Source organism: Homo sapiens, chromosome 15, assembly GCF_000001405.40.
Source record: "Homo sapiens chromosome 15, GRCh38.p14 Primary Assembly".
Taxonomy (NCBI): Eukaryota; Metazoa; Chordata; class Mammalia; order Primates; family Hominidae; genus Homo; species Homo sapiens.
This window is the reverse complement of record NC_000015.10, coordinates 41,042,073-41,069,813: the sequence shown is the minus strand read 5'-3', so window position 1 is coordinate 41,069,813 and position 27,741 is coordinate 41,042,073. Positions and strand designations below refer to the sequence as shown.

Sequence of the window (27,741 nt, the reverse complement as noted above, 5' to 3'; positions counted from 1 at the left end):
TACTATTGAATGTGCAGATTTGGGATTTACTCACTGTTTCTCTTGTTATTTGTTTCCTATTCTTAGATTGTTCTTGTCATTAATTATAATTTTGAATTAAATACCTTCCCTTTTCCTGTAGTTGGCTGACTGGGTTTTTCTGTTGCAGAGAGAGAACATTTGGGGACCTTTCTTAATAATTTCACCTGCGTCTACACTTAACAATTGGCACCAGGAGTTTACTAGATTTGTTCCTAAATTTAAGGTAAATATCAGTCCAACCAAAACATCTATTGCTCTTTAAAATAAACTTTTTGACTCTCCTTTTCTTGCCCTACTAATTACTCATAACAGTTTTAAATTTTGGCCGGACTTGGGGGCTCACACTTGTAATCTCAGCACTTTGGGAGGTTGAGGTGGGTGGATCACGAGGTCAGGAAGTCGAGATCATCCTGGCTAACATGGTGAAACCCCGTCTCTACTAAAAATACAAAAAAAAAATTAGCCGGGCATGGTGCCATGTGTCTGTAGTCCCAGCTGCTCAGGAGGCTGAGGCAGGAGAATCGCTTGAACGGGGCAGGGCCAGGGGGGTGAGGGGGCGAGGGGAGGTTGCAGTGAAGGGAGGTTGTAGCAAGCCGAGAATGTGCCGCTGCACTCCATCCAGGGCGACAGAGCAAGACTCCTTCCGTCACAAAAACAAAAATATACATTGTTCCAAAATAACTTGCATATAATCACTATAAAACTTACTGCTGGGAACAATGAGTGCATATTGCATTTAGCCTGATAAATGGATACTCGTGGTCAAACTGCCACGGTAGAAAACATCTACCTTATTTGGTTTAACATAGATTTTTGACAAATCATACCATCAGTACACATCCTATCATTTACGGCATTTCTCTTTTCATTTAAATCTATTGTAAATAATTCATTTCTTTTTTTTAATACATGTCTTGTTTTTGTTTTTGTTTTGAGATGGAGTCTCACTCTGTCGCCGAGGCTAGAGTGCAGTGGCACAATCTCGGCTCACTGCAACCTCCATCTCCCAGGTTCAAGCAATCCTCCTGCCTCAGCCTCCTGAGTAACTGGGATTACAGGTGTCTGCCACCATGCCCAGCTAATTGTTTTGTATTTTTAATAGAGAGAGGGTTTCACCATGTTGTCCAGGCTGGTCTCAAACTCTTGACCTCAGGTGATCCACATGCCTGGGCCTCCGAAAACGCAAGGATTACAGGCATGAGCCACCGCACACAGCTGTTGTTTTTTTTTTTAATCAGAGTTTCACTCTTGTTACCCAGGCTAGAGTGTAATGGTGCAAACTCTGCTCACCGCAACCTTTGCCTCCAGGGTTGAAGTGATTCTTCTGCCTCAGCCTCCCGAGTAGCTGGGATTACAGGCATGTGCCACCATGCCCGGCTAATTTTGTATTTTTAGTAGAGACGGGGTTTCTCTACTGACGATGTTGGTCAGGCTGGTCTCGAACTCCCGACCTCAGGTGATCCACCCATGTCAGCCTCCTGAAGTGCTGAGATTACAGGTGTGAGCCACTCCATCCAGCCCATTTTGCTTTTTTAGTAGAGGCAGGTCTCACTATGTTGCCCAGGCTGGTCTTGAACTCCTGGCCTCTAGTCATCCTTCTGCGTCAGCCTCCCAGAGTCCTGGGATTACAGGCACGAGCCACCAAACCCAGCCAGTTCATTTTCTTAATACTCTAAAGTCTGATCTCTAGTCTTAGTCCAGCTTATAATGTCTAAGGTAGATAATGTGAACATCGATTTAATTAATTCAGAGGAAAAGAATTCAGGTTGAAGTAGGGGGTGATCAGGGAAGTATTTGGCATCCATTGGGCAAGACATTGATTAGATTTAAACAGCTGCTTAGTTATGAAAAGTTGGAGGAATTTAAGAAAGAATGAATAGGATTTATTGTTTGCAATTTAAAAGAATTGAAAATGAGTTAAATATGTGTTCTGTCCCTAAAGGAATATGATAATGAAGTTGCACAGTTAAGATAGTATTTTGGAGATTATATATCAAAATATGTTGACATGATCTCTGTGATTTTGGGTCTCTGTAATAGTGATGGGTTTCCTGTAGTTGGAGCTTGGGATAGGGTAGAAATGTGAGGCAGGTATTTTTCTGGCTTATGCTTTGTATGGAATAGGAAATTGTCTGGGATTTCCCACTTTGAGGCAGCTTTATGGCTGTGGTCCCATTTTGTGGCTAAATTGTAGATGTAGAAACTGTATAAGGAGTGTTAGGATATATAGCTTTTAATTTGACTGACTCATTTTCATCTTGCTGAGATGATGATGAGATCATTCTAATGCAGTTTGTTGACTATTTTCTCTTAAATTGTTTGTCTTGTGGAATGGTGATCACCATCTTTTTCTGCTTTTTTTTTCATATGATGTTCAGTATATATTGAACAATGCAGATCTTGAAAAATAAAAGATCTTGGCCGGGCATGGTGGCTCATGCCTGTAATCTCAGCACTTTAGGAGGTGAGGCGGGTGGATCACAAGGTCAGGAGTTTAAGACCAGCCTGGCCAAGATGGTGAAACCCTGTCTCTACTAAAAATACAAAAATCAGCCAGGTGTTATGGCGGGCGCCTGTAATCCCAGCTACTCGGGAGGCTGAGGCAGGAAAATTGCTTGAACCCGGGGGGCAGAGTTTGCAGTGAGCCGAGATCATGCCACTGCACTCCAGCCTGGGCGACAGAGTGAGAATCCGTCTCAAAAAGAAAAAAGAAAAATAAAAGGTCTTAAAATTTTTTCACCAAACCACTTAAGTTTTCAGTAGCTCTTCCACTGCTGATAGATGGCAATGTGATATTACTAATGTCATTGATGCCTTTCCTTTGACTTTATAAGTATGCCTGAAACAGAGCTATCATTTGCATGTTGAACTTTCTTTCGATATCCTAATTTAGGATTATATACCCTGTGGGTGTTGCCACCTCTTTTGATTTTTTTTTTTTTTTTTGCTTTTTTTTTTTTTCTTAGAGACATTTTCTCCTTCTGTCTCCCAAGGTGGAGTGCTGAGACGTGATCATAGCTCACCGCAGCCCTGAACTCCACCTCAAGCCATTCTCCCACATCAGCCTCCCAAGTAGCTAGGACTACCGGCATGCAGCGCCACACCCTGCTAATTTTTTTTTTTTAATTTTATGGTGCCGTCTTGCTATGTTGCCAAGGCTGGTCTCTAACTCCTGGCCTCACACAATCATCCCACCTTGGCCTCTTAAAGTGCTGGGATTATAGGCACGAGCCACTGCAGTTGGCTTGATTTTTTTTTTCCTAGTGCCCCAATATATTTTTTATTGTGACAAAATACATAGAACATAGTATTTACCATTTTAACTATTTAAAAATGGGCTGGGCCTGGTGGGTCATGCCTGTAATCCCAGTACTTTGGGAGGCCAAGGTGGGAAGATCACTTGAGTCCAGAAGTTCAAGAACAGCCTTGCCAACGTAGACCTTGTCTCTACAAAAAATTTAAAAGTTAGTTGGATATGGTAGTGCATGCCTGCAGACCAAGCTTATAAAAAAATGGGCCGGGTGCGGTGGCTCACGCCTGTAATCCCAGCACTTCGGAAGGCTGAGGCAGGGGGGTCACCTGAGGTCGGGAGTTCTAAACCAGCCTAACCAATGTGGAGAAACCCCATCTCTACTAAAAATACAAAATTAGCTGGGCATGGTGGCACATGCCTGTAATCCCAGCTACTCGGGAGGCTGAGGCAGGAGAATCGCTTGAACCCAGGAGGCAGAGGTTGTGGTGAGCCGAGATTGTGCCTGGGCAACAAGAGCACAACTCTGTCTCAAAAAAAAAAAAAAAAAAAAAGTACAATGTAGTAGCATTAGGTGCATTCACAATCTTGTGTAACCATCACTGCTGTCTAGTTTCATAACTTTTTCATCAGCCCAAACAGAAGGCCTTTACCCACTAAGCAATCACGTTCTATTCACCTTGTGCTGTAGCCTCTGGCAACCACAAATTTGACTGCTGTGGCTGGATTTGCTTATTCTGAACACTTTGTGAATGCTGTTTCTGTCTGGCTTCTTTTACTGAGTATAAAGTTTTCAAGCTTCATCCATATTATAGCATGTGTCAGTGCTTTATTCCTTTATATGGCTGAGTAATATTCCATTGTGTATATATATATCACATTTTGTTCATCCATTCATCTGTTGATGAATATTTGGGTTGTTTCCACCTTTTGGCTGTTGTGAGTAGTACTGCTATGAACATTCCTGTGCAAGTTTTTGTTTGAACACTTTTACTGTTTTCACTTCTTTTGGGTATGTACCTATGAGTAGAATTGCTAGGTCATATGGTAATTCTACTTATTAAGGAATCTTCCACCTGTTTTTTTTGTTTTTTGTTTTTTGTTTTATGACACAGAGTCTTGCTCTGTCGCCCAGGCTGGAGTGCAGTGGCGTGATCTTGGCTCGCTGCAACCTCCGCCTCCCAGGTTCAAGCAATTTTGCCTCAGCCTCCCGAGTAGCTGGGACTACAGGGGTGTACCACCACACCCAGCTAATTTTTGTATTTTTGGTAGAGACGGAGTTTCACCATGTTAGCCAGGCTGGTCTTGAACTCCTGACCTCAGGTGATCTGCCCTCCTCTGCCTCCCAAGGTGCTAGGATTACAGGCGTGAATCACCGAGCCTGGCCTGCTACCTGTTTTTGAATGGCTGTAAACTAAGAATAGTTTTTACTTTTTAAAATTATTGATAAAAAAATAAACTTTCATAGAATGTGACATACAAAGTTGAAAGTCATACGTATTGGAACACAGCCCCACACTGCACTCTTTTTCTACCTTTTTTTTGAGACAGTGTCTCGCTCTGTTTCCCAGGCTGGAGTGCAGTGACATGATCTTGGCTCACTGCAACCTCTGCCTCCTCCGGGTTCAAGCAGTTCTTCTGCCTCAAGCTCCCGTGTAACTGGGACTACAGGAGCCTGCCACCATGCCCAGTGAATTTCTTTATTCTTAGTAGAGGCTGAGTTTCCCCACGTTGGCCAGGCTGGTCTCAAATTCCTGAGCTCAAGCGATCCTTCTACCTTGGCTTCTCAAACTGCTTGGATTACAGACGTTAGCCACCATGCCCAGCCAGCTTTTTTCTTTATCTGATGTCTTGAGATGGAGCTTAGAGTATTGATTTTCAGCTTCTAATAGATGTACATTTAAGGATACTCATTGCTTTCTGAGCATGACTTTAGCCATCCAAAGGTTTGATGTGTCATATATACATTGTCTTTCACTTCATCATAATCTCTAACTTCCATTGCAAGTTCATTTTTGATCTATGGTTTATTTAAAAGTGTATTTCTAGGTGGGATGATCACTTGAGCCCTGGAGTTCAAGGCTACAGTGAGCTATGATCACACCACTGTACTCCAGCCTAGGCAACAGGGCGAGACCCTATCTCTTTTAAAAAATAAAAAGTGTAATTCATAATTTTCAAACAGTGGAGGATTGTCTAGATGTCTTGTTTGTTATTAATTGATACCTTAAATTCACATTGGTAAAAGAAACTTTTTATGACTTTAATACTTTGAAATTTGTTGAACCCTCATTTTTATGTCTCAGCATATTGTCAGTGTTTATATGTCCTTTGTGTATTGGAAAATTATAGGTATTCTGCCCTTATTCATTGCAGTGTTGCATATATGTTGATTTAGGTCAAAGTTTGTTAAGTTGTTCAGCTCTTTCATGTCTTTACTGATTCGTCTGCCTATTCTGTCACTGACTGAGAGTGGTATATTAAAACATACCATGATTATGGATTTGTCCATTTCTCTTCTGTCCATTTTTGCTTTATATATTTTGAGGCTGTAAGATTTATACTCTTCCTGGTGAACTGAACCTTTTATTATTATGAAATTTTCCTTTTAAAGACTTTTTGACTAAAAGTCTGTATTTTCTGATATATATTGTTTTTCTTTAATTTTTTTCTGAATACAGAATGTGAGGGCGTCTTTGCTTAATTTTTACATGGCTTTTTTTCTTCCTTTTATTTGTAATCATTTTACATCATTTATGGTGCATTTCTCTTTTTGAGACGGAGTCTATCTGTCGCCAGGCTGGAGTGCAGTGGCGCAATCTCAGCTCACTGCAACCTCCGTCTCCAGGGTTCAAGCAATTCTGTCTCAGCCTTCCTAGTAGCTGGGATTACAGGCGCATGCCACCACGCCCGGCTAATTTTTGTATTTTTAGTACAGACGGGGTTTCACCATGTTAGCCAGGCTGGTCTCTAACTCCTGACCTCAAGTGATCCGCCTGCCTCAGCTTCCCAAAGTGCTGGGATTATAGGTGTGAGCCACCGTGCCCGACCTTAAGGTGTATTTCTTGCCTCTTGTTGGGAATATTTGTGCTTTTAATGTAAATGCTGATATATTGAGTTTTAAGTCTTCCTTCCTAATTGTTTTTCTACTTGTGGCACCTGTTTAATTTTTCTCTTTTCCTTATTTTTACATTAAAATTTTTTTTGAGACGGAGTCTGGCTCTGTGGCCCAGGCTGGAGTGCAGTGATGTGATCTCAGCTTACTGCAACCTCTGCCTCCCAGGTTCAAGCAATTCTCCTGCCTCAACATCCTGAGTAGCTAGAATAACAGGCACCTACCACCACACCCAACTAATTTTGGTATTTTTACTAGAGATGGGGTTTCACCATGTTGGCCAGGCTGGTCTTGGACTCCTGACCTCAGGTAATCTGCCCACCTTAGCTTCCCAAAGTGCTGGGATTACAGGCATGAGCCACTGCGCCCACCCTATTTTAAAAACATTTTTTGGCCCATGACAGCGCTCAGGAGATCCTGAGAAATGTGTCCCAGTGTTTTGGTTCTCTCCTTTCTTATGTCCTTTTGGACTGATTAAATGTTACTGCTCTCCCTCCCTCTCTTAGCTTATTATTTGTCTTAGTTTGTTTTGTGCTGCTATAACAAAACACAGAAAACTGAGTAATTTATAAAGAAAAGAGATTTATTTGTTATAGTTCCAGAGGGCCTGAGAAGTCAAAAAGTGAGGCGTCCTCATCTCACAAGGGCCTTCTTGTTGCATCACTCCAGATTGGAAGGCAGAGGAGCAGAAGAGCCCAGGGTGAGGGGGACTCCTGTGATAATGGCATTAATTCATTCATGAGGGCAAAGCCCCCATGACCTTCTCACCCCTGAAAGCTCCCACCTCTCAGTACTGTTGCATTGGAGATTAAGTTTCCAGCACATAAACCTCGAGAGAGATGTTCAAACCATAGCACTAGTCATGTATTTATTTTATTCTTTTTGGTTTTTTTTGGAGACAGAGTCTCACTCTGTCACCCACGCTTCAGTGCAGTGGTGTGATCTCCACTCACTGCAACCTCTGCGCCCAGCTAATTTTTGTATTTTTAGTAGAGACAGGGTTTTGCCATGTTGGCCAGGCTGGTCTTGAACTCCTGGCCTCAGGTGATCCATCCGCCTCAGCCTCCCAGAGTGCTGAGATTACAGGCATGAGCCACCATACTTGGCCTATTTTATTCTCTAGTAGATAATCTGGGGGAAAAACTTGCCTTCTTGACTTAAAAAATAATAATAATATAAATTAAGAGTTACTACTTTCTGGATAATATAAAGACTTCGGTATACTTGGACTACATCCCTTTTGTCTCGACTTATATGCTGTAGGTTTTGTATACTTTTTATATTTTAAACCCCATGAGACATTTTATTATTGCTTATATATTTTATGTTTAGATTTTTTCATATTGTATATTCAATTTTTATTAATCTTCATTTCTTCCTGCATATTTCTGCTTCCATTTGGCTGAAATTTTTCAGAACAACAAAAGATAGCGGTCTGTAGATTCAAGAAGCCCTGTGAGGTGCAGGGATAAGGAGAAAGAAAACCACATCTAGAAAACATCACAGAAAAAGTGCTGAATCTTGCATTCTGTTGTTTCTTTGTGCTTTAATCTGGATATTTTCTTCTGACTTGTCATCTAGTTCACTAATTTTCTCTTTAGCTGCATCTAATCTGTCATTAGATCCATTCATTAATTTCTTGATTTTAGTTACTATATTTTTCAGTTCTAAAAATTCGCTTTGATTCTTTTATAATTTATAGCATACCATTGAAATTCTCTATCTTGTTTTTCATTAACAAATTAGCATTTTTTAAAGTATTTTTCATTTTTATTTTTAAATTTTTTTATTTTATTTATTTTTTTGAAACACAGTCTCACTCTGTCGCCCAGGCTGGAGTGCAGTGGCACGATCTCGGCTCACTGCAACTTCTGCTTCCTGGGTTCAAGCGATTTTCCTGCCTCAGCCTCCCGAATAGTTGCGACTACAGGTGTGTGCCACCACTCCTGGCTAATTTTTTTTTTTTTTTTTTTTTTTGTATTTTTGGTAGAGACGGTGTTTCACCATGTTGGCCAGGGTGGTCTCTATCTCCTGAGCTCGTGATCCACCTGCTTTGGCCTTGCAAAGTGCTAGGATTCCAGGTGTGAGCCACTGTGCCCGGCCTAAACTTTTATTTATTTATTTTTTTGAAACAAAGTCTTGCTCTGTTGCCCAGGCTGGAGTGCAGTGGCACAATCTTGGCTCACTGCAACCTCTCCCAGGCTCAAGCAATTCTGCCTTAGACTCGTGAGTTCCTGGGACTGCAGGCGCGTGTCACCACACCTAGCTAACTTTTGTATTTTTTGTAGAGAGAGAGTTTCACCATGTTGCCCAGGCTGGTCTGAAACTCCCATGCTCAGGTGATCTGCCAGCCTCAGTCTCCCAAAATGCTGGGATTACAGGCATGAGCCACTACTCCTGGCCAAAAGTCTGTTTTTAATATTTTTATTATTTTAATCTCCTCTGTGTACGTTATCTTTCTTTCATGTAGGCTTTCATTCATGTGATACGGTCTTTCTATATGTCTGGTTATTTTTTAATGCTATGCCAGACATTGTATAGGAAAAGCTATAGAGATAAGTGTGGGCTCTCACAACTGTTTTCTTCTAGAGAGGATTTATGTGTTTTTTTGCCACTAGTAATTATTTGGGGGTTGGTGGGGATGCAAATTATTCAAAGCCTTTTTAATCTGGAATTCAGATGTCTTGAGGCGGGGAGTCGGTACCTATTCAGGGAAGTCTAGGCAAGTCTATGTATGATTTACTGTTACTACTACCTTGTAGCCTTTGACTTCCAACTTAAAGCCAGGGATGTGGCTGGTTACAAGAGTCTTTTTCCTTGAACTACAATTTTTGTTCTCTATGTCTTACATCTTTTTGTTTTTTTTTTTTCCTGAGACAAAGTCTTGCTCTTGTCCCCCAGGCTGGAGTGCAGTGGCGCCATCTCTGCTCACTGCAACCTCTGCCTCCCTAGTAGCTGGGATTACAGGCGCGTGCCACCACACCCGGCTAATTTTTGTATTTTCAGTAGAGACGTTTCACCATGTTGGCCAGGCTGGTCTCCAACTCCTGACCTCAGGTGATCCGCCTGCCTCGACCTCCCAAAGTGCTGGGATTACAGGCGTGAGCTACCATGCCCAGCCTATCTTACATCTCTTAAGAAAAAGTGTCCTCAGTTTCTTACCCTCTCAACTAGAACTTTTGTAATGCCATGATACCATCAGTGATAAAGTATACCACATACTAGGCTTACCTCTCTGGGCTTCCGTTGTTTTCTGATTTGGGCCTCTGTAATTGCCCACTGTCTCAGTAGCTGTTTTATGCCTTCAGACAAATGAATTGTGTGTGTGTCTTTCTATTTGGACAACAGGGTTGGTTAAACCATTTATTCCACCATTGGCAGGAGAGGAATTCCTATGCTCATTTTATTAGTTTCTTTTTAAATTGTTCCGAATTATATATTTGTTCTAATACTTTTAAGATCATCTATAGAAAGTAATGTATATATTGGCCCTTTTTCTAGGTGCTACCATATTGGGGAAATCCTCATGATAGAAAAGTCATCAGAAGGTTCTGGAGTCAGGTAACATTCTACTTAAACTGCATACATACGTACCGTACATGCAGTCATTATTTCTCTAATTGATGTGGATAATTTCTTTTAGACAAAAATCTTCTTATCTATTATATATTTCTGGACACTGATCAAGTTTCCATTTTTCTGATACAATACTTTTCCTGTTGTAGGCAATCAGCTGGACTTGATTTCCAGGATTAATTAAGAATCTTTTTTTTTGAGACAAGGTCTTGCTCTGTTGCCCAGGCTGGAGTGCAGTGGCATGATCACATTTCACTGTAGCCTTGACCTCCTGGCTCAAGCAATCCTCCCACCTCAGCCACCCAAACTACAAGCAGGAGACAGCACACCCAGCTAATTTTTGGGACTATAGGCTCGCTACACCATGCCCGGCTAATTTTTGTATTTTTTATAGAGATGTGGTTTCAACCTGTTGCCCAGGGTGGTCTCAAACTCCTGGGCTTAAGTGATCCTCCTGCCTCGGCCTCCCAAAGTGCTGGGATTACAGGTGTGAGCCACCACACCTGGCCAGAACTTTTTTCTTTAATAAGCTGAAGACTAGTTTCAGCCTAGTTTGTGGTAAATGTGACTGCTTTAAAAACAGTTATAGTGGCCGGGCATGGTGGCTCATGCCTATAATCCCAGCATTTTGGGAGGCCGAGGCAGGAGGATCACTTGAGTCCAGGAGTTCGAGACCAGCCTGGGTAACATAGTGAGACCCCATCTCTACATAAAATAAAATAAAATAAAAAAATTAGCCGGGCATGGTGGTATATGCCTGTAGTCCCAGCTGTTTGGGAGACTAAGGCAGGAGGATCACGTGAGCCCAGGAGGTTGTGTTTGCAGTGAGCCATGTTCACGCTGCTGGACTCTAGTCTGGGTAACGGAGTGAGACCCTCTCAACAACAGCAAAACAACAGACAAAACCCCACAGTATGGTTCACTTCACTGCACATCTCCCTACCATATGGGAGAAGCACATCTTCAGGGCTGTCTTAAACATTTTGGCCCTAGAAAAACAGTCCATACATCAGTTCCTTATTATGAATTATTAGGTTTCTCTTTTCACCCTTCCCCTTTTATATTTACAGAAGACCCTCTACACTCAGGATGCCCCCTTCCATGTGGTTATTACCAGCTATCAGCTGGTGGTGCAGGATGTAAAGTATTTCCAGCGGGTCAAGTGGCAATACATGGTACTGGATGAGGCTCAGGCGCTCAAGAGTAGTTCCAGGTAACATGAGTAGTAGAAACCAAACTCAATGCATTGGGTTAAGTACACACACACACACACACACACACGCACACACACACACACACAGACTTGTATATATGAATAAAATCAAGATATGAGAAGTTTTATTTAATTTTTTTAATAGAGACAAGGTCTCGCTTTGCTGCCCAGGCTAGTCTTGAACTCCTGGCTTCAAGCGATCCTCTCGCATCGGCCTCCCCAGGTGTTGGGATTAGAGGGATGAGCCACCCGTCCAATATATGAGAGGTTTTAAATATGACGTGACATGATCTCTGCATCAGTCGTGTACCTGATCAGAAGGCAAAAATTCCCTTTTTTTATTTTTTCATGGAACACAAATGTTAATGCCAAGAATACCAAGACTTTTCTCAACTTTTATCTCCCTGTTCAAGAAGGTGACATTTTTACAGGTCATCTCTTCAGGGAAAATTTCTATAGAGGAAGGAGTCTCTGCCCTTGCTTTAAGGTATTATTTTAGATAGGAGTTCTAAGTAGGAGGTAGAATGTTAGGTTATGTGGATTGGATGCTCTGTTTGTTTTATGTTGATTATCTGAGACCCTGGATGGTTTTCAGATCTCCAAGAATCCTTTTATTCTAAGTTATGTGTTTAAAATATTCCAATACCTTTGAGGTCCCAAAGTAAATAAAAAGTGTTATTTGGTGATATTAAACCTCAGGCTTGATATTTTTTTTATTAACTCATGGTGAGTCGTTAGAAATTTATTAGAGGTCCATGTTAACTGGCTAGATGATATTTTCTGTAGAACTTTGTTTTTTCTATTCTTTTCTTTCTTTCTTTTTTTTTTTTTTTTTTTTTTTGAGATGTAGTTTCACTCTTGTTGCCCAGGCTGGTGTGCAGTGGCGCAGTCTCGGCTCACTGCAACCTCCACCTCCCAGATTCAAGCAATTCTCCTGCCTCAGCCTCCCGAGTAGCTGGGATTACAAGTGCTCACCACCATGTCCGGCTAATTTTTGTATTTTTAGTAGAGATGGGGTTTTGCCATGGTGGCCAGGCTTGTCTCGAACTCCTGACCTCAGGTTATCCACCTGCCTCTGCCTCCCAAAGTGCTGGGATTACAGGCGTGAGCCCTTCTGTGGAACTTTCTATCCTCAGAAAGGTCTTACTTCCTACAGCAATCTTTTTTTTTTTTTTTTGAGACAGGGGATAGGGTCTTGCTCTGTTGCCCAGGATGGAGTGGTGCAGTGGCGCAGTTGGGGCTCACTGCAGCCTCGACCTCCCTGTCTCAAACGATCCTCCCATCTCAGTCTCAGAGCTGGGACTATAGGCGTGTGCCACCATGCTGGGCTAATTTTTTGTATTTATAGTAGACACGGGGTTTCTCCATGCTGCACAGGTTGGTCTTGAACTCCTGCACTCAAGCCTCCCAAAGTGCTGGGAGTACAGACATGAGCCACCATGCTTGGCATACTGCAGTTGTTCGAAGGAGCATATGCCTTTGGCCAGGAGCAATGAAGATTCATTTTACATTTTCTTCTCACCAACACTCCTCATAACTGCTCTCTCCAAACTCATACTGGAAGTGCACAGATTAATAATTTTGACACTTTATACCACAGATATGTACTTTCTAATTAAATGACTTATGTCAGCAAAAATGACTAAAGATAATAGAAGAGTTTATAAAGCCAGAAATGATACAACTCTGCCTATTTGAGGCTATTTTTTTCTAAATCCAAATACCGTGTTTTCAGTAGAGAGGACTCATTTCCCTTGGAAGTGTCCTGTTTTCAGCTTTGTTGAATAATGTTTTTCAGTTGAATACATGATGGAGTACTTGATTCTGAATGTTAGTTTTTTGGAAGGCATTTTTGTCAATATGGGGTCTCAGTAGGATAATTAAAGAACAATTTATTGCTAACATGAATTTGTAACTTATTTTATCAAACAGTGTTCGTTGGAAGATCCTCTTACAGTTCCAGTGTCGGAATCGGCTTTTGCTAACCGGGACCCCAATTCAGAACACCATGGCAGAGGTAGGCACTAGTCCAGGTCACAGGTTTATATCTTCATAAAACAGAAGGATTCCAGCAGAGCATAGAATTCTTTACCCATTCCCTTGCAGTGCTACTGCTTTGTATAAATTATAGTCCCCACATAAAAGACTTGCCCCAAGTCGTCTTTTAGGCATAGGCATCATTCCTGTTTTCTTATTCTCTGGCATAAGGCCAATGAATTACTGTATTCTTTTGTATTTAAGGAATACTGACCACATTAGAAAATGTAAACATTTAATGCAGAGACGTGTTTTTGCTAGAGTTGAAATGTAATATTTGTTAACACAGAGGGGAGCTAAAATTTTTGGGGGGAGTTAATTGATCATCTAGAATAAGGGTCAGAAATCCTTATAGAGGCTGCGTGCAGCTGCTCATGCCTGTAATCCCAACAACTTGGGAGGTCGAAGTGGGAGGATGCCTTGAACCCAGCAGTTCAAGACCAGCCTGGGCAACGTGGTGAAACCCGGACGCTACAAAAAAAATCAAAAAATTAGCCAGGCATAGTGGTGCATGCCTGTAGTCTTAGCTACTTAGGAGGCAGAGTTGGGATGATTGCTTGAATCCTGAGGTCAAAGTTACAATGAGCCGAGATTGTGCCACCGTATGCCAGCCTGGGCAACAGAGTGAGACTCCATCTCAAAAAAAAAAAAAAAAACCAAAAGAAGAAAACTTTATAGAAACTGACAGATAGTATATATTTTATAGAGTTTGGAGGCCATGCAATCATGGTTGCAGCTACTCAACTTTGCTTGTGTAATAAAGTAGCCATAGGCAATACATAAGTGAATGGCCATGGCTATGTTTCAATAAAACTTGATTTAAAATAGTGGTAGACCAGACTTGGCCCAACAGGCCATATTTTTCTAACCCCTAATCTAGGATTATTAGTAGCAAGTTATCATACCTTAGGTTGTGTTCAATTATGGAATAGATTTTTATAAGAAGATCGTTAAAACTATCCCATTGCAAAATCTGAGCATGACTTGCGCTTTGAAACTTTTAGTTTGAAATTAGTTGAAAAAGAATCACATTTTGCTACAGCACCTAATAAAATTAGGGTTGGTTGATGAGGCAAGAATGTAGTTGAATTCATTCATTTTCTGTCTTTCATTCACACATACACATGCATCTAGGCACTTACACACTAATACACCTGCAATTTTCTCTATCTAATACATCCTTACACGCTGTCATTTTATTGCTCTATAGCTATTTCATTTTTGTCTTTGTTTACAGCTTTGGGCTCTGCTGCATTTCATTATGCCAACATTATTTGATTCACATGAGGAATTTAATGAATGGTTTTCCAAGGACATTGAGAGCCATGCCGAAAACAAATCTGCTATTGATGAGAGTGAGTACTGTTATGAGCTGGCTTTCTATCTACCTATCAGTGTAGGCAACCACGTAATTGCATATTTTCTTTTATTTGAATAATTTTTCTTCCAGTATACATAGACAAATCAGCGGGGAAGAAAACCACATTTTTTGCTTATAAAATAATTTTGTTTTTTGTACATATTTAACAGTCAAAAAAGAACTAATTTAGATGATTACTACTGTAGTCTTGTCTAATCAAGGCAGATCAGGCTTGATTCATAAAGTATTATATTTTAGCTTGCAGAATTCACATTTCCCATTTAGATCTTGAAAAATTCATATTGGCCAGGCATGGTGGCTCACATCTGTAATCCCAGCACTTTGGGAGGCTAAGGTGGGCGGATCACGTTAGGTCAGGAGTTCAAGACCAACCTGGCCAACATGGTGAAACCCTGTCTCTACAAAAACGCAAAAATTAGCCGGGCATGATGGCGGGTACCTGTAATCCCAGCTACACGGGAGGCTGAGGCGGGTGAATCGCTTGAACCCAGGAGATGGAGTTTGCGGTGAGCCGAGATTGCATCATTGCACTCCAGCCTGGGTGATAGAGCCAGACTCCATCTCAAAAGAAAATTCATATTTAATTCTTTGTGGGTCAAATGGGTCAAATGCTATGGGTCTAATGGGTCAAAGCTTTTTTCCTGTGATAAAAACAGCAAATATTAGAAGGACCATTTTTGTTATTTTTCTCTATGTATTAGAATTTGTTTTCATTGTGAGCATTTTTAACCTTATCAATACTTTTGATATTGTTGAATAATATCTCTCTGATTTTAAGAGCATTCTGAAGTGTTTATTACACAGACATGAGCTTGCTCACTATTAGAAAAATCCTTATGTGATTTTACACTATGAGTTGTTAATTTGCTGACATCCTTTGGAAGGTAATTTTTGGGGAACACTGAGAGTCTCAGATAATTTTTCTTATACTTACAACCCTATTAGTGATAAAATGTCCCTAAAACCTAAAAATGAATTCTAATGAAAATAGAGCCTAGTATATTTATCCTGTTGACTATAGCAAGATGGTATAAAAAATTAAAATTCCTTGCTTTCCTACTTGGGAAAAAGTTTCAGTCTGCTTTTAGAGAATCATTGAGCCAAAGGAGTTTTGAAGAGTTTGGTGAGAGGTGAATGTGGTATTTGTTTCTGTTGTTTTTGTGAAATCACTATAATGTATTATTTGGGGGCCTCCCGGCATTTCAGATCAACTTTCTCGCTTACACATGATTTTGAAGCCATTTATGCTGAGGAGAATCAAGAAAGATGTGGAAAATGAATTATCTGACAAGGTAAGTAAAGAAGACCTCATGTGTTTAAGCCTCAATAGGCACCAACTTAAGATTCCAGGGGGAGAAATTTATTGATATATGTTTAGTTGAAGTTTGCTTGAAGGAAGACGTTTAAACTTGCATGGATCAAAGAGGACTTAAAATGAGGCAAATAATTGAGGAAAATAACATCTTTTTTTCTTTTTTTGAAATGCTTTTTACTGGAGAATTTGAAACATTACAAAAATAGAAAGATAGTATAATGAATCCCCTTGACCCATTGTTCCGTGACAATAATCATTAACTCTACCTCTCTCTTATTCAAAAGCAAATCCCAGATGTTTTATAAATGAATATTTGTTTATGAAGTATTTTCATGTATATTTCTAAAAGATTTGGTTTTTTTAAACACTGCCTAACCACATGCCATTATCACACCTATTTAAAAAGACCAGTTCCATGATAGCATCACGTATCTAGTCAGTGTTCAGATATCTCCAGTTGTCTTTGTGTGTCTGTCTCTCTTCTTCAAAGAATTAATTTGTAGCCGGGCACGGTGGCTCATGCCTGTAATCCCAGCACTTTGGGAGGCTGAGGTGGGCGGATCATGAGGTCAGGAAATCGAGACCATCCTGGCTAACACAGTGAAACCCCGTCTCTACTAAAAATACAAAAAATTAGCCAGGCATGGCAGCAGGCGCCTGTAGTCCCAGTTACTCGGGAGGCTGAGGCAGGAGAATGGCATGAATCTGGGAGGCGGAGCTTGCAGTGAGCCAAAATTGTGCCACTGCACTCCAGCCTGGGCGACAAAGCGAATGTCTGTCTCAAAAAAAAAATGTCAGAATAAGGATACAAGCAAGGTCCATACATAGCATTTGGATGGTCTGTCTCTCAGCATCTGGTTTGTTGTTTCTTTTGAGGCAGGTTCTTACTCCTTCACCCACACTGGAGTGCAGTGACACAATCTTGGCTTACTGTTGCCTTGACCACCTGGGCTCCAGTGATCCTCCCCTGTCAGCCTCCCAAGTAGCTGGGACTACAGGTGTGTGCCACAACACCTGGCTAATTTTTGTATTTTTTTTTTTTTTTTTTGTAGCGACCAGTTTTGCCATGTTCCCCATGCTGGTCTCAAACTGAGTTCAAAGGATTCACCCGCCTGGGCCTCTGAAAGTGCTAGGATTACAGGTGTGAGCCACTGTGCCCGACCTCTTAGTATCTTTTAATCTCTCCCTCCGTTTTTTCCCCTTGTATTTTTTTTTTTTTTTTTTTTTTTTTGTAAGACAAGGGCTCGCTCTGTCACCCATGGTGGAATGCAGTGGTGCAATCACGGCTCACTTCAGCTTTGACCTCCTTGGCTCAAGCAGTCCTCCCACCTCAGCTTCCCTAGTAGCTGGGTCTACAGGTGTACACCACCACACCTGGCTAATTTTTCATTTTTTTCTAGAGACAGGATCTTGCTATGTTGCCCAGACTAGTCTTGAACTCCTGGACTCCAGCAATCCTCCCACCTCAACCTCCCAGAGTGCTAGGACTATAAGCATGAGCCACCGTGCTGGACTTAAAAAATCAGGGATTGTATATATATCCTCTTCAAAGAGAGGAGTAGAACTGTACCTTTATTTAGTCTTTTTTTCTCAAAATCTTGATGGGTAGTTTTTTGAAATTGGCTGATTTTAGCTAATAAATAGCAATGTCACATAGATACAACTGAGAGAAGGAAAACATTTTATTTAAAAAATGAATCCCTAATGCATTTATATTTAAAGGGTCATGTAAACAATAGTTCATTGTTTAAAATTTTTTTTTTTTGAGACTGGATTTTTTACTCTGTCACCCAGGCTGGAATGCAGTAGCATGATCATGGCTAACTGCAGCCTCATACTCTAGGGTTCATGGGATCCCCCCACCTCAGCCTCCCTAGTAGATGGTACTATAGGTGCACACCACCATGCCTGGCTAATTTTTTATTTTTTATTTATTTTTTATTTTTTTGAGACTGAGTCTTGCTCTGTCGACCAGGCTGGAGTGCAGTGGCGCGATCTCAGCTCACTGCAACCTCCGCCTGCCGGATTCAAGCGACTCGCCTGCCTCAGCCTCCCTAGTAGCTGGGACTACAGGTGTGTACCACTAACGCCCAGCTAATTTTTGTATTTTTAGTAGAGATGAGGTTTCACCATGTTGGTTGGCCAGGATGGTCTCGATCTCTTGACTTCGTGATCCACCCACCTCGGCCTCCCAAAGTGCTGGGATTATAGGCATGAGCCACTATGCCCAGCCCTAATTTTTTATTTTTTAATTTTTATAGAGTCAGGGTCTCACTGTGTTGCCCAAGCTGGTCTCAGAACTCCTGGGCTCAAGCGATTCTCCTGCCTTGGCCTCCCAAAGTGCTGGGATTGCAGGTGTGAGTCAGTGCACCCAGCTAGTTCATGATTGTTGTTTAGTGCTACATAGAGAGGTGATCTGAAGATCTAGTATGGTTCCTAACCACTGTGTATAGTATGTGTTTCTTAAACATCATTTAGCGTTTCCTATCTTACTATAGTTTTGCTAGGGAAAGTTAGAGAAGGCATTAAAGCAAAGATGACATGTGAGCTAGGTTTCAAATGATGAGTTGGCATTTACTAGGAAAATATGGTGGGAATGGGGGGCTAGGCAACAAGGGCAGTGTGAGCAAAGATAGAGTAACATCGAAATATGCAGCCTGTTTTGGCTAATTTTCAGATCATTGTGGCTAAGTGGTATGTGAGGAGGTTATGATGATGAGAAACTCAGACAGTAAGGTAGGTTTGATTATGGGAGAACTTTCTTTTTTTTTTTTTTTGAGATGGAGTCTCATTCTGTCACCCAGGCTGGAGTGCAATGGTGCAATCTCGGCTCACTGCAACTTCTGCCTCCCGGGTTCAAGTGATTCTCCTGCCTCAGCCTCCTGAGTAGCTGGGATTAGAGGCACGTGGTACCACACCCTGCTAATTTTTGTATTTAGTAGAGATGGGGTTTCACTATGTTGGCCAGGCTGGTCTTGAACTCCTGACCTGTGATCTGCCTGCCTCGGCCTCCCAAAGTCCTGGGATTACAGGCGTGAGCCACTGCGTCCGGCCTGATTATTGGAGGCTTTCTTTGCTGAGATGAGAAGTTTCAACATTTTACTTTAGGCAAAAATGCACATTGAAGATTTTTCAGCAGTTGAATTCCTTTATAAGCTATATGTGGAAAGTATATCACAACCGGAAGAAACTGGAGGCAGGAAGACCACAAAATATTATCAGTCTATACTATATCAGATGAGGGCCAGCAGTAGGGCAATGGGTATGGTTAGAAAAGGTGGTAGATTTCCAAGCTGAATTGAAGGATTTAGGAAATACTAGAACATGAGGTGTGAGAGAGCATTCAGAGGTGAGTTAAGTTTGTCTTTCCCAACTGAAGGAATGGTAATGCTGTTAACCAATTTAGTAAATTGTGGAAAAGAGAACTGTTTTTCTGACACATCACATATGCCATTGCTGCAGACTGAGTGGTACTCTTAGAGTTAGTAGTTGCAGGTACTGGCCTGGGTTATGTTTGGGAATGTACTTTTGTATGTTACTGTGATGGGTGTTAGTTGGCACAGTTAGAAATGGAAGAAATTGCCCAGGGAAAGCAAATGGAATGAGTGATGAAGAGAAGAGGGCCAAGGAATATACATTTTTTTCTGAATGATTGTCCACATTCACAGGTTTATAGAGATACTGAGTTCACATATGTTTATTCTCAATCATAATATGGTTTGTGTGTGTTTTCAACTTTAAGCTGATGCTGAATTTTCTTAAAAACTACTTTTCCAAATATAAATGTTCTTATTGATTTTTAGATTGAGATTCTAATGTATTGCCAACTGACCAGCCGACAGAAGCTGCTATATCAGGCACTAAAGAACAAAATTTCCATTGAGGATTTATTGCAGTCTTCTATGGGCTCTACCCAACAAGCACAGAACACCACCAGCAGCCTCATGAATCTGGTCATGCAGTTTAGGAAGGTAAGAGCTTACGTCAGTTCCCTTGAAGTTTTGTTTTTTGTTTTTTGAGATAGAATTGTCTTGCTCTGTTGCCCAGGCTGGAGTGCAATGGCGTGATTTCGGCTCACTGCAACCTCTGGCTCCCAGGTTCAGGCAATTCTCCTGCCTCAGCCTCCCAAGGAGCTGAGACTACAGGAGCCTGCCACCACGCCTGGCTAATTTTTGTATTTTTAGTAGAGATGAGGCTTCCCCATGTTGGTCAGGCTGCTCTCAAACTCTTGGCCTCAAGGGATCCACCCGCCTCGGCCTCCCAAAGTGCTGGGTGAGCCACTGCGCCTGGCCTTGAAGTTGTCTTTATTAACCTTTTTCAAGAAAAACAGTCTATCCTTGATGCCAGATAAGCAAAGGCTATTAATGAGATGAAAATGGGAAAGTATCCATTCCCAAAGGTAAACATTTGGGATTTGGGATCCCCTGTCATTACGTATGATGTCTGCATGTGGTAATATTGTCTTACCATTTCCCTTCCTTTTAGGTGTGTAATCACCCGGAGTTATTTGAACGGCAAGAAACTTGGTCTCCATTTCATATTTCCCTAAAGCCATACCACATTTCAAAGTTTATCTACCGTCATGGACAGATCAGGGTCTTCAATCATTCACGAGACAGGTAGGGAAGTATTACTATCTGTTCACTATTAGTGTTTTATAATTTACAGTTTTATGGCTTAGTAGATAAATTTAGTGGAGAGAATATGAGTTCCCAGCAATGAGACATTTAAGCAAAGGGTGGACAACTATTTGTTGAGGGATCTTATGGAAGGAATTTGAGCACTGTTAAAACTTCAGCTAGGTGGCCTTAAAGGCCCTAGTCACTTCTGGTTCTTCTTTGAATCAGGAATGTGCACCAATTTGTAAATATGTACTTGCAGCAAGTATGCATATCTATGCCCCATTGCTGAAATTGGTTTGTGGTGGCTTACTTTACATTTGGAATTGCACTTGTGGGTGAACTGATTGTATTGTAAGTTAATCAAATTTACCTTTTTCTCAGAGTCAGCAACGATAAATTTAGTAAAGTTTGAAGTGGTTGTTAAGGTAATGCACTAGAGACGACTTCCATTCAGAAAATAGATGTGTGGTCCATTCCACACCTGTGAGTTAGTATGGCCCTGGCTTCTGAATTTTTAAACAAGTTCCCAGAGGTTTTTTCTGCATATCAACATTTGAGAACCATGGATTTAGAAAGCTGTTTTATAGAGAAACTCATCACCAATATTTAGTTTAATGAAACTGAAATTGAAACACATTTCTTGGATTTTACTTCATGAGTTATTTGTAGCTCCAGGTTAATATTTAACTTGAGCTGGGAGGAACAGGCCAGAGCTGTATTGCCTTTTGTTTAGTATGGTATATGATACCTTAGGGCACTAGAATTGTGATTCTCTGAAATAAAATGAGACTACTTTTAATTTGTATTATCTTCTTACACTTTCACTAAATATTTTGTATTTTTTTAAATGTATGCTATGATTTTTGCCTGGTAATATGGCAAGAAACTTCTTAAAAGTGAAACAGTTTCAAAACTAAAAGGTTTTACTTGCTATGGAACCTCTAGTCTAGTTAACTTTCCATTATTTATGTTTGGGTTTGGCTTTATTTTATTTACTTACTTTGCAGGTGGTTAAGGGTTCTTTCTCCATTTGCACCAGACTATATCCAACGGTCTCTCTTTCACAGAAAAGGTAGGTGTTTTGATCTTTGGGAAAGTAGGTTTGTCAGGGTTTTACCAGGATGCTCTTTGTTTTGCTGAGAGACTGATTTAGAACGAGTATTAGTTTTGCCTATATGGTAGGCCCTTATTTATAAAATCTTGATAAGATTTAATTAAGGAAATTAGTTATCTTTATAGGCTCTGTGATTTGTAGCTATGAGAGGAAAAAGTAGAAAATAGTATTATTGACTTTCCATCTTTATTTTATACCTGCCTTTCAAGAATTTCTTGCCCTTGAAACTTGACAAAGTCGGTGCTGGACTGTCTCATTAATGAGACTTCCTTCCGTCTTAGCCTAAGGAAAAGAAGCTACTCAGCTTTGCTCATTGTCCAAAATATTAAGGCCAAGGTTCAGAACCTTTCACCTCTGTCCTGTCCTTTTCTTTTTCCTAGCATTGGACAAAGAGAAGGCATTTAGGCAAGCATCCAAAAATCCCAAAGGTAATGTAGGAGCCATCTCTAGTCTGGTCCATATATATATGCCATATCTCATAGGCCTGCCTCTCTTATCTGTTATTGTAGTATAAAGGTGTGGCACCCTAACTTGCACCAAAGTGGCTAGATCAGAACCTTTAGAATAGTGTTTTTGTTCTTAAGTCAAAACTCAGCAGTTGAGCAGGCTTTAACTGAGCATCGTCTCTTGGTTTGCTGTTGGGTTTCAAATTGTCTTTTATATTTCAGGTATTAATGAAGAAAGCTGTTTCTCTTTCCTTCGCTTTATTGATATATCTCCAGCAGAAATGGCAAACCTTATGCTTCAGGGACTTTTGGCCAGGTGAGAGGTTTGCTTATTGCTTGATAAGAGGCCAGTTAGGAATAAATGGGATAGATATTGAATACTGTGGAATTAAATATTTAATATGATATCATCTTAGAGAACTTGTCATTAATTTTCTTTTGTTAAGAATAAAGTTTGTAGGCTGGGCACGGTGACTCATGCCTGTAATCCCAACACTTTGGGAGGCCGAGGCGGGTGGATCACCTGAGGTCGGCAGTTCAAGACCAGCCTGACCAACATGGAGAAACCCCATCTCTAAAAAATACAAAAGTAGCCGGACATGGTGGTGCATGCCTGTAATTCCAGCTACTTGGGAGGCTGAGGCAGGAGAATTGCTTGAACCTGGGAAGTGGAGGTTGCCGTGAGCTGAGATCATGCCATTGCACTCCAGCCTGGATCAGTTGAGGCCAGCCTGGATCAATTGAGGCAACAAGTTCAAAACTCCGTCTCAAGAAAAAAAAAAAAAATAGTACAGTTTGTTGACCAGGCCCAGGCGCAGTGGCTCACACTTGTAATCCCAGCACTTTGGGAGGCCAAGGTGGGTGGATCACTTAAGGTCAGGAGTTCAAGACCAGCCTGGCTAACATGGTGAAACCCCATTTCTACCAAAAATACAAAAATTAGCTGGGTGTGGTGGTACACCACTGTAGTCCCAGCTACTCGGGAGGCCGAGGCAGGAGAATTGCTTGAACCCAGGAGGTGGAGGTTGCAGTGAGTCAAGATCGCTCCACTGCGCTCCCACCTGGACAACAGAATGAGACTCGGTCTCAAAACAGAACAAAACAAACAAAAAGACTGTAATTTGTTATTCATAAGTGAATTGTACCTTTCTTTTGCTCATTTAGTAATTGTATGATGCTTCATAATATATCTTAAATAGGCCAGGCGCAGTGGCTCATGCCTGTAATCCAGCACTTTGGGAGGCCGAGGCAGGTGGGTCACCTGAGGTCAGGAGTTTGAGAGCAGCCTGGCCAACATGCTGAAACCCCGTCTGTAATAAAAACACAAAAATTAGCCAGGCATGGTGCCACGCGCCTGTTTCAGCTACTCAGGAGGCCGAGGTGGGAGAATCACTGGAACCCAGGAGGTGGAGGTTGCAGTGAGCCTAGATCATGCCATTGTACCCCAGCCCGGGCAACAGAACAAGAATATATATATATATATATATATATATATATATATATATATATATATATATGTATGTATACGCACACAGAGACACACACAGACACACACACACACAGACACACACACACCCCTTAAATATAAACTGTTTAGGCTTTTCTCCCATAATTTCTAGTAAGTCTTGTTTACTTGTTTCTACAGGGCAAACGGAGGCTGGTGATTCATTTAGTTAGTGATTGCAGCATAGCCTGCCTCAAGTGTTCTGGGAAGTTTAATTCTCTGTTCTCTGGTATAATGGTTCTCACTGATTTTATTACTTTTGATTTATGTAATCAGAAATGGTTATCTCCTTAATATGAAGGAATTTTTTTTTTTTCCCGAGATGAAGTCTCACTCGGTCGCCTAGGTTGGAGTGCAGTGGCTCGATTTTGGCTCACTGCAACCTCCGCTTCCTGGGTTCAAGTTATTCTCCTGCCTCAGCCTCCCAAGTAGCTGGGATTACAGGCGTGCACAACCACGCCTGGCTAATTTTTTGTATTCTTTTTTTTTTGTAGAGGTGAGGTTTCACCATTTTGGCCAGGCTGTTCCCGAACTCCTGGCCTCAATTGATCTGCCTGTCTCATTCTCCCAAAGTGCTGGGATTAAAGGTGTGAGCCACTGTGCCCGGCCAAGGTGAATTTTTTTTTTTTTTTTTTTTTGAGACAGAGTCTCGCTCTGTCGCCCAGGCTGGAGTACAATGGGGCAATCTCGGCTCACTGCAATCTCCATCTCCCAGGTTCAAGCGATTCTCATGCGTCAGCCTCCCAAGTAGCTGGTATTACAGGTGCCTGACACCACGCCCTTTTGTAGTTTTAGTAGAGACTGTATTTTGCCATCTAGGTCAGCCTGGTCTCAAACTCCTGACCTCAGATGTTCCACCTGCCTCGGCCTCCCAAAGTGTTGAAATTACAGGCGTGAGCCACTGCGCCTGGCAAATTTTTTTAAATACTGATAGGAGCTTTGCGGAGGATTTTAGTTTTCATAGTAGCAAACCATGTAATGCGAAATAATGTATCTGAAAGTAGGAAAGTAGGAAAGAACTGTTTCTAAAATGATAAAGATTTACAAAAGAGTTATGTTAATGAGAGACAATCCTTGCTGCTATGAACGACCCTCAAACCTCCATGGAGCACTGAATAAGCGTGTCTGCTGTGGTTTGTTTCAGATGGTTAGCTCTTTTCCTGTCTCTGAAAGCCTCCTACAGGCTCCATCAGCTACGCTCCTGGGGAGCGCCAGAAGGGGAGAGCCACCAGAGATACCTGAGGAACAAGGATTTCCTTCTTGGGGTTAATTTTCCACTCTCCTTTCCAAACCTTTGCAGCTGCCCTTTGTTAAAGGTAAGCAATTATTTGAGCATAAATTACCTACTTAGTATCTTCTTTCCTTTTCCTTGAATAAGTAAAAATAATAGTAAAGTAAATGAAGGCCTGAGAGAACCAAAAAGTTCCCAGAGGAGTGGGCGGTGCAGCATATTGAGTTCTAACTTAATTTACACTTTGTATATATATTTTTGAGTGTATTTATATTTTCAAAATGTTTTTTTTACAATACTGTGAAGTACACAGATCTTAAGTGTACAGCTCTGTGAATTTATATATGTGTATACACTTGTGTAACAACCACCTAGATCAATATATAGAATACTTCCAGCTCCCTCATGCTCCTTTCCGTTTAGTAGCTCTAGTTTAGAAAAAGACAAACCAACAATTAAAGGTAATTGCCATATTCTACTTCTGTCACCGTAGATTATTTTTGCCTGTTTGTGAACTTTATATAAATGGAATTATCTTGTATGTACTCTTTTGTAACTGGGATTTTTCACTCAGTATTGTTTATGAGATTTGTCCATGTCATATATAGCATTCTTTTTTTATGGCTATGAAGTATTACATTGTCTGAATGGACCACAATTTATTAATCTGTTCTACTGTGGTAGATATTTTGTTTGTTTCCAGTTCTAGGCTATTATGAATAAAACCCCTATGCACATTTGTCTACATGTTATTTGATGAATGCAAACACTCCTTTCTTTGGTGTTTATATCCAGGAATGGAATTGCTACACTGTCAAGTATAACCCTGTTTAGAGTTAGTAGCTTTTGCCAAACGTTTTTCTAAAATAGTTTTATAAATTTACATTTGCACCTACGGTATGTGAGATTTGCTATTATTCAGCATCCTCCACTACACCTGGGAATGGCAGTCTGTTTTGTTTTGTTTTGTTGTGTGACTCCTTATGAATAATCATTCCTTACAGTTTTAATTATTTTTGTGAATGTGTAGTGGCATCTCGTGATCTTGAATTATATTTCCATGAAAAGTAATGATGTTGTGTACAGTTTCATATAATTCTTGGCCCTTACAGAATAGTAGGTGACAAAGAAGGTGAAAGAAGGTGACAGGAACTGAAGTTATAGATGTAGGTCCAGGTCATATGGAACCTCATAAGAATTGCTGAGGGTTTGGAATTTATTCTGAGTGAAATGAGTAATGCTAGAGAGTTTTGAGAAGAGGAGTGACAGTTCTTTGTTATAGTCCTTCAGCTAGATTGAAGTTTAGAAACTAGGTCATTTTCCTTGTATCCTATAGAAAATGTTATGGGGTAGTTTTACAGTTACTGTTGTAGAATGAAGGACATTCTTTGGCTAGCTCATTCAGTATTTGCCCCCTGTACACTGAAAAGCTCACATGATTTCCTTCTCTTCTGTTTTCCCAGTTGGTTTCTTAAGCATTGCTTCATGTAATTTTTGGACTTTGGAGAGGGAATCAGTAATGCAAATTAATGTAATTGGATTCCAGCCTGTTTGGAGTAATGCTGTCAGTGGTGGCAGGGTGATTTCCTGCTGGTGAAATATTCCTAGTATGTCTACTGGGAACACTGGTATGTCTGAAGAGTTGCTTAATCTTCTGTAAAGATTAATTCCTTCTCTCAACCCCTAAATTTGGTAATATATGTTACTACTGTAATACATTTTTATCAGTTCTGCTTTTTATACAAAAAGCACCATTCTTCCAAGACATTGTTGTTCCCTGTTATATGGACACCTGCATTTTTCTTAACGCTAGAGATATGCATCACTCATTTGTATTCTTCTCTGTTTTCTGAAAATATTGTAGTATGTTCCAGAGCGTCTGCTTAGTGAGGTCCTTATATCAGTTAGAACCGTCTGAGAAATGCAGATGTGGGTAGTATGCTTTATGGGAAACTGGTCATAAAATATGTTTACGCAGTTGAAAGATTCACTTATATTTACTCATTTTAATTTGCTCTTGTAGTGGTTTAGAGTATACACTGAATTAATGAGCTATTGGGCCACGGGGAGCTGAAAGCTTATATATGTGTGGAGACACTGTTCTGCTTTCAATCTCATCATCCTTATCTCCAACATATGTATGTATATTGAAATACCAACCAAGTAGTGTATTTTGCTAGAGCTTATGGTTCTCATAATTAATGATAAGACTGTCAGCCGGGCGTGGTGGCTCACACCTGTAATCCCAGCACTTTTTGAGTCCGAGGCAGGCGGATCCCTTGAGGTCAGGAGTTCAAGACCAGCCTGGCCAACGTAGTGAAACCCCACATCTACTAAAAATACAAAAATTAGCTGGGTGTGGTGGCACACGCCTGTAATCCCAGCTACTCGGGAGGCTGAGGCATGAGAAACTCTTGAACACGGGAGGCTGAGGTTACAGTGAGTGGAGATCACACCACTGCACTCCAGCCTGGGTGACAGAGCGAGACTCCCTCTCAGAAAAAAGACTGTCAGTTTTAAAAGATCTCTGCTTTCAGGGCCAGGAGTGTTGGCTTGGGCCTGTAATCCTAGCACTTCGGAAGGCCAAGGTGAGAGTATCATTTGAGCCCAGGAGTTCAAGACCAGCCTAGGCAATATAGTGAGACCCCATATCTACTAAAAAATTTTAAAAATTAGGTGGGGCGTGGTGGCTTACCCTTGTAATCCCAGCACTTGGGGAGGATGAGGTGGGCGGATCCCTTGAGGTTAGGAATTCAAGACTAGCTTGGCCAATGGTGAAACCCTGTCTCTATTAAAAATACAAAAACAATTAGCCGGGTGTGGTGGCACATACCTGTAATCTCAGCTACTCAGGAGCCTGAGGTAGGAGAATCTCTTGAACCCGGAGGCAGAAGTTGCAGTGAGCTGAGATCATGC

The 27,741-nt window shown here is 41.0% G+C and overlaps 1 protein-coding gene across 6 annotated transcripts in view; it reads left to right on the top strand.

Moving 5' to 3' along the window:
- The window catches only part of INO80 (INO80 complex ATPase subunit), a 137,401-nt gene that overhangs the window by 46,467 nt on the left and 63,193 nt on the right, over positions 1–27,741 (top strand). For 5 of the 6 annotated variants that reach the window (NR_104038.2, XR_001751322.3, NM_017553.3 and 2 more), the window contains exons 14-24: positions 149–244; positions 9,888–9,947; positions 11,033–11,175; positions 13,108–13,192; positions 14,450–14,567; positions 15,800–15,885; positions 19,712–19,879; positions 20,394–20,527; positions 21,538–21,602; positions 22,313–22,406; positions 24,739–24,910. Coding sequence is in view for 4 of the 6 variants with exons in the window: in NM_017553.3 (NP_060023.1) it covers positions 149–244; positions 9,888–9,947; positions 11,033–11,175; positions 13,108–13,192; positions 14,450–14,567; positions 15,800–15,885; positions 19,712–19,879; positions 20,394–20,527; positions 21,538–21,602; positions 22,313–22,406; positions 24,739–24,910 (1,221 nt within the window). In the remaining 2 variants the exon portion in view is untranslated. Of the gene's footprint in view, positions 1–148; positions 245–9,887; positions 9,948–11,032; positions 11,176–13,107; positions 13,193–14,449; positions 14,568–15,799; positions 15,886–19,711; positions 19,880–20,393; positions 20,528–21,537; positions 21,603–22,312; positions 22,407–24,738; positions 24,911–27,741 lie in introns of those variants that run through there. The other variant, XM_011521686.4, reaches the window with a different exon arrangement.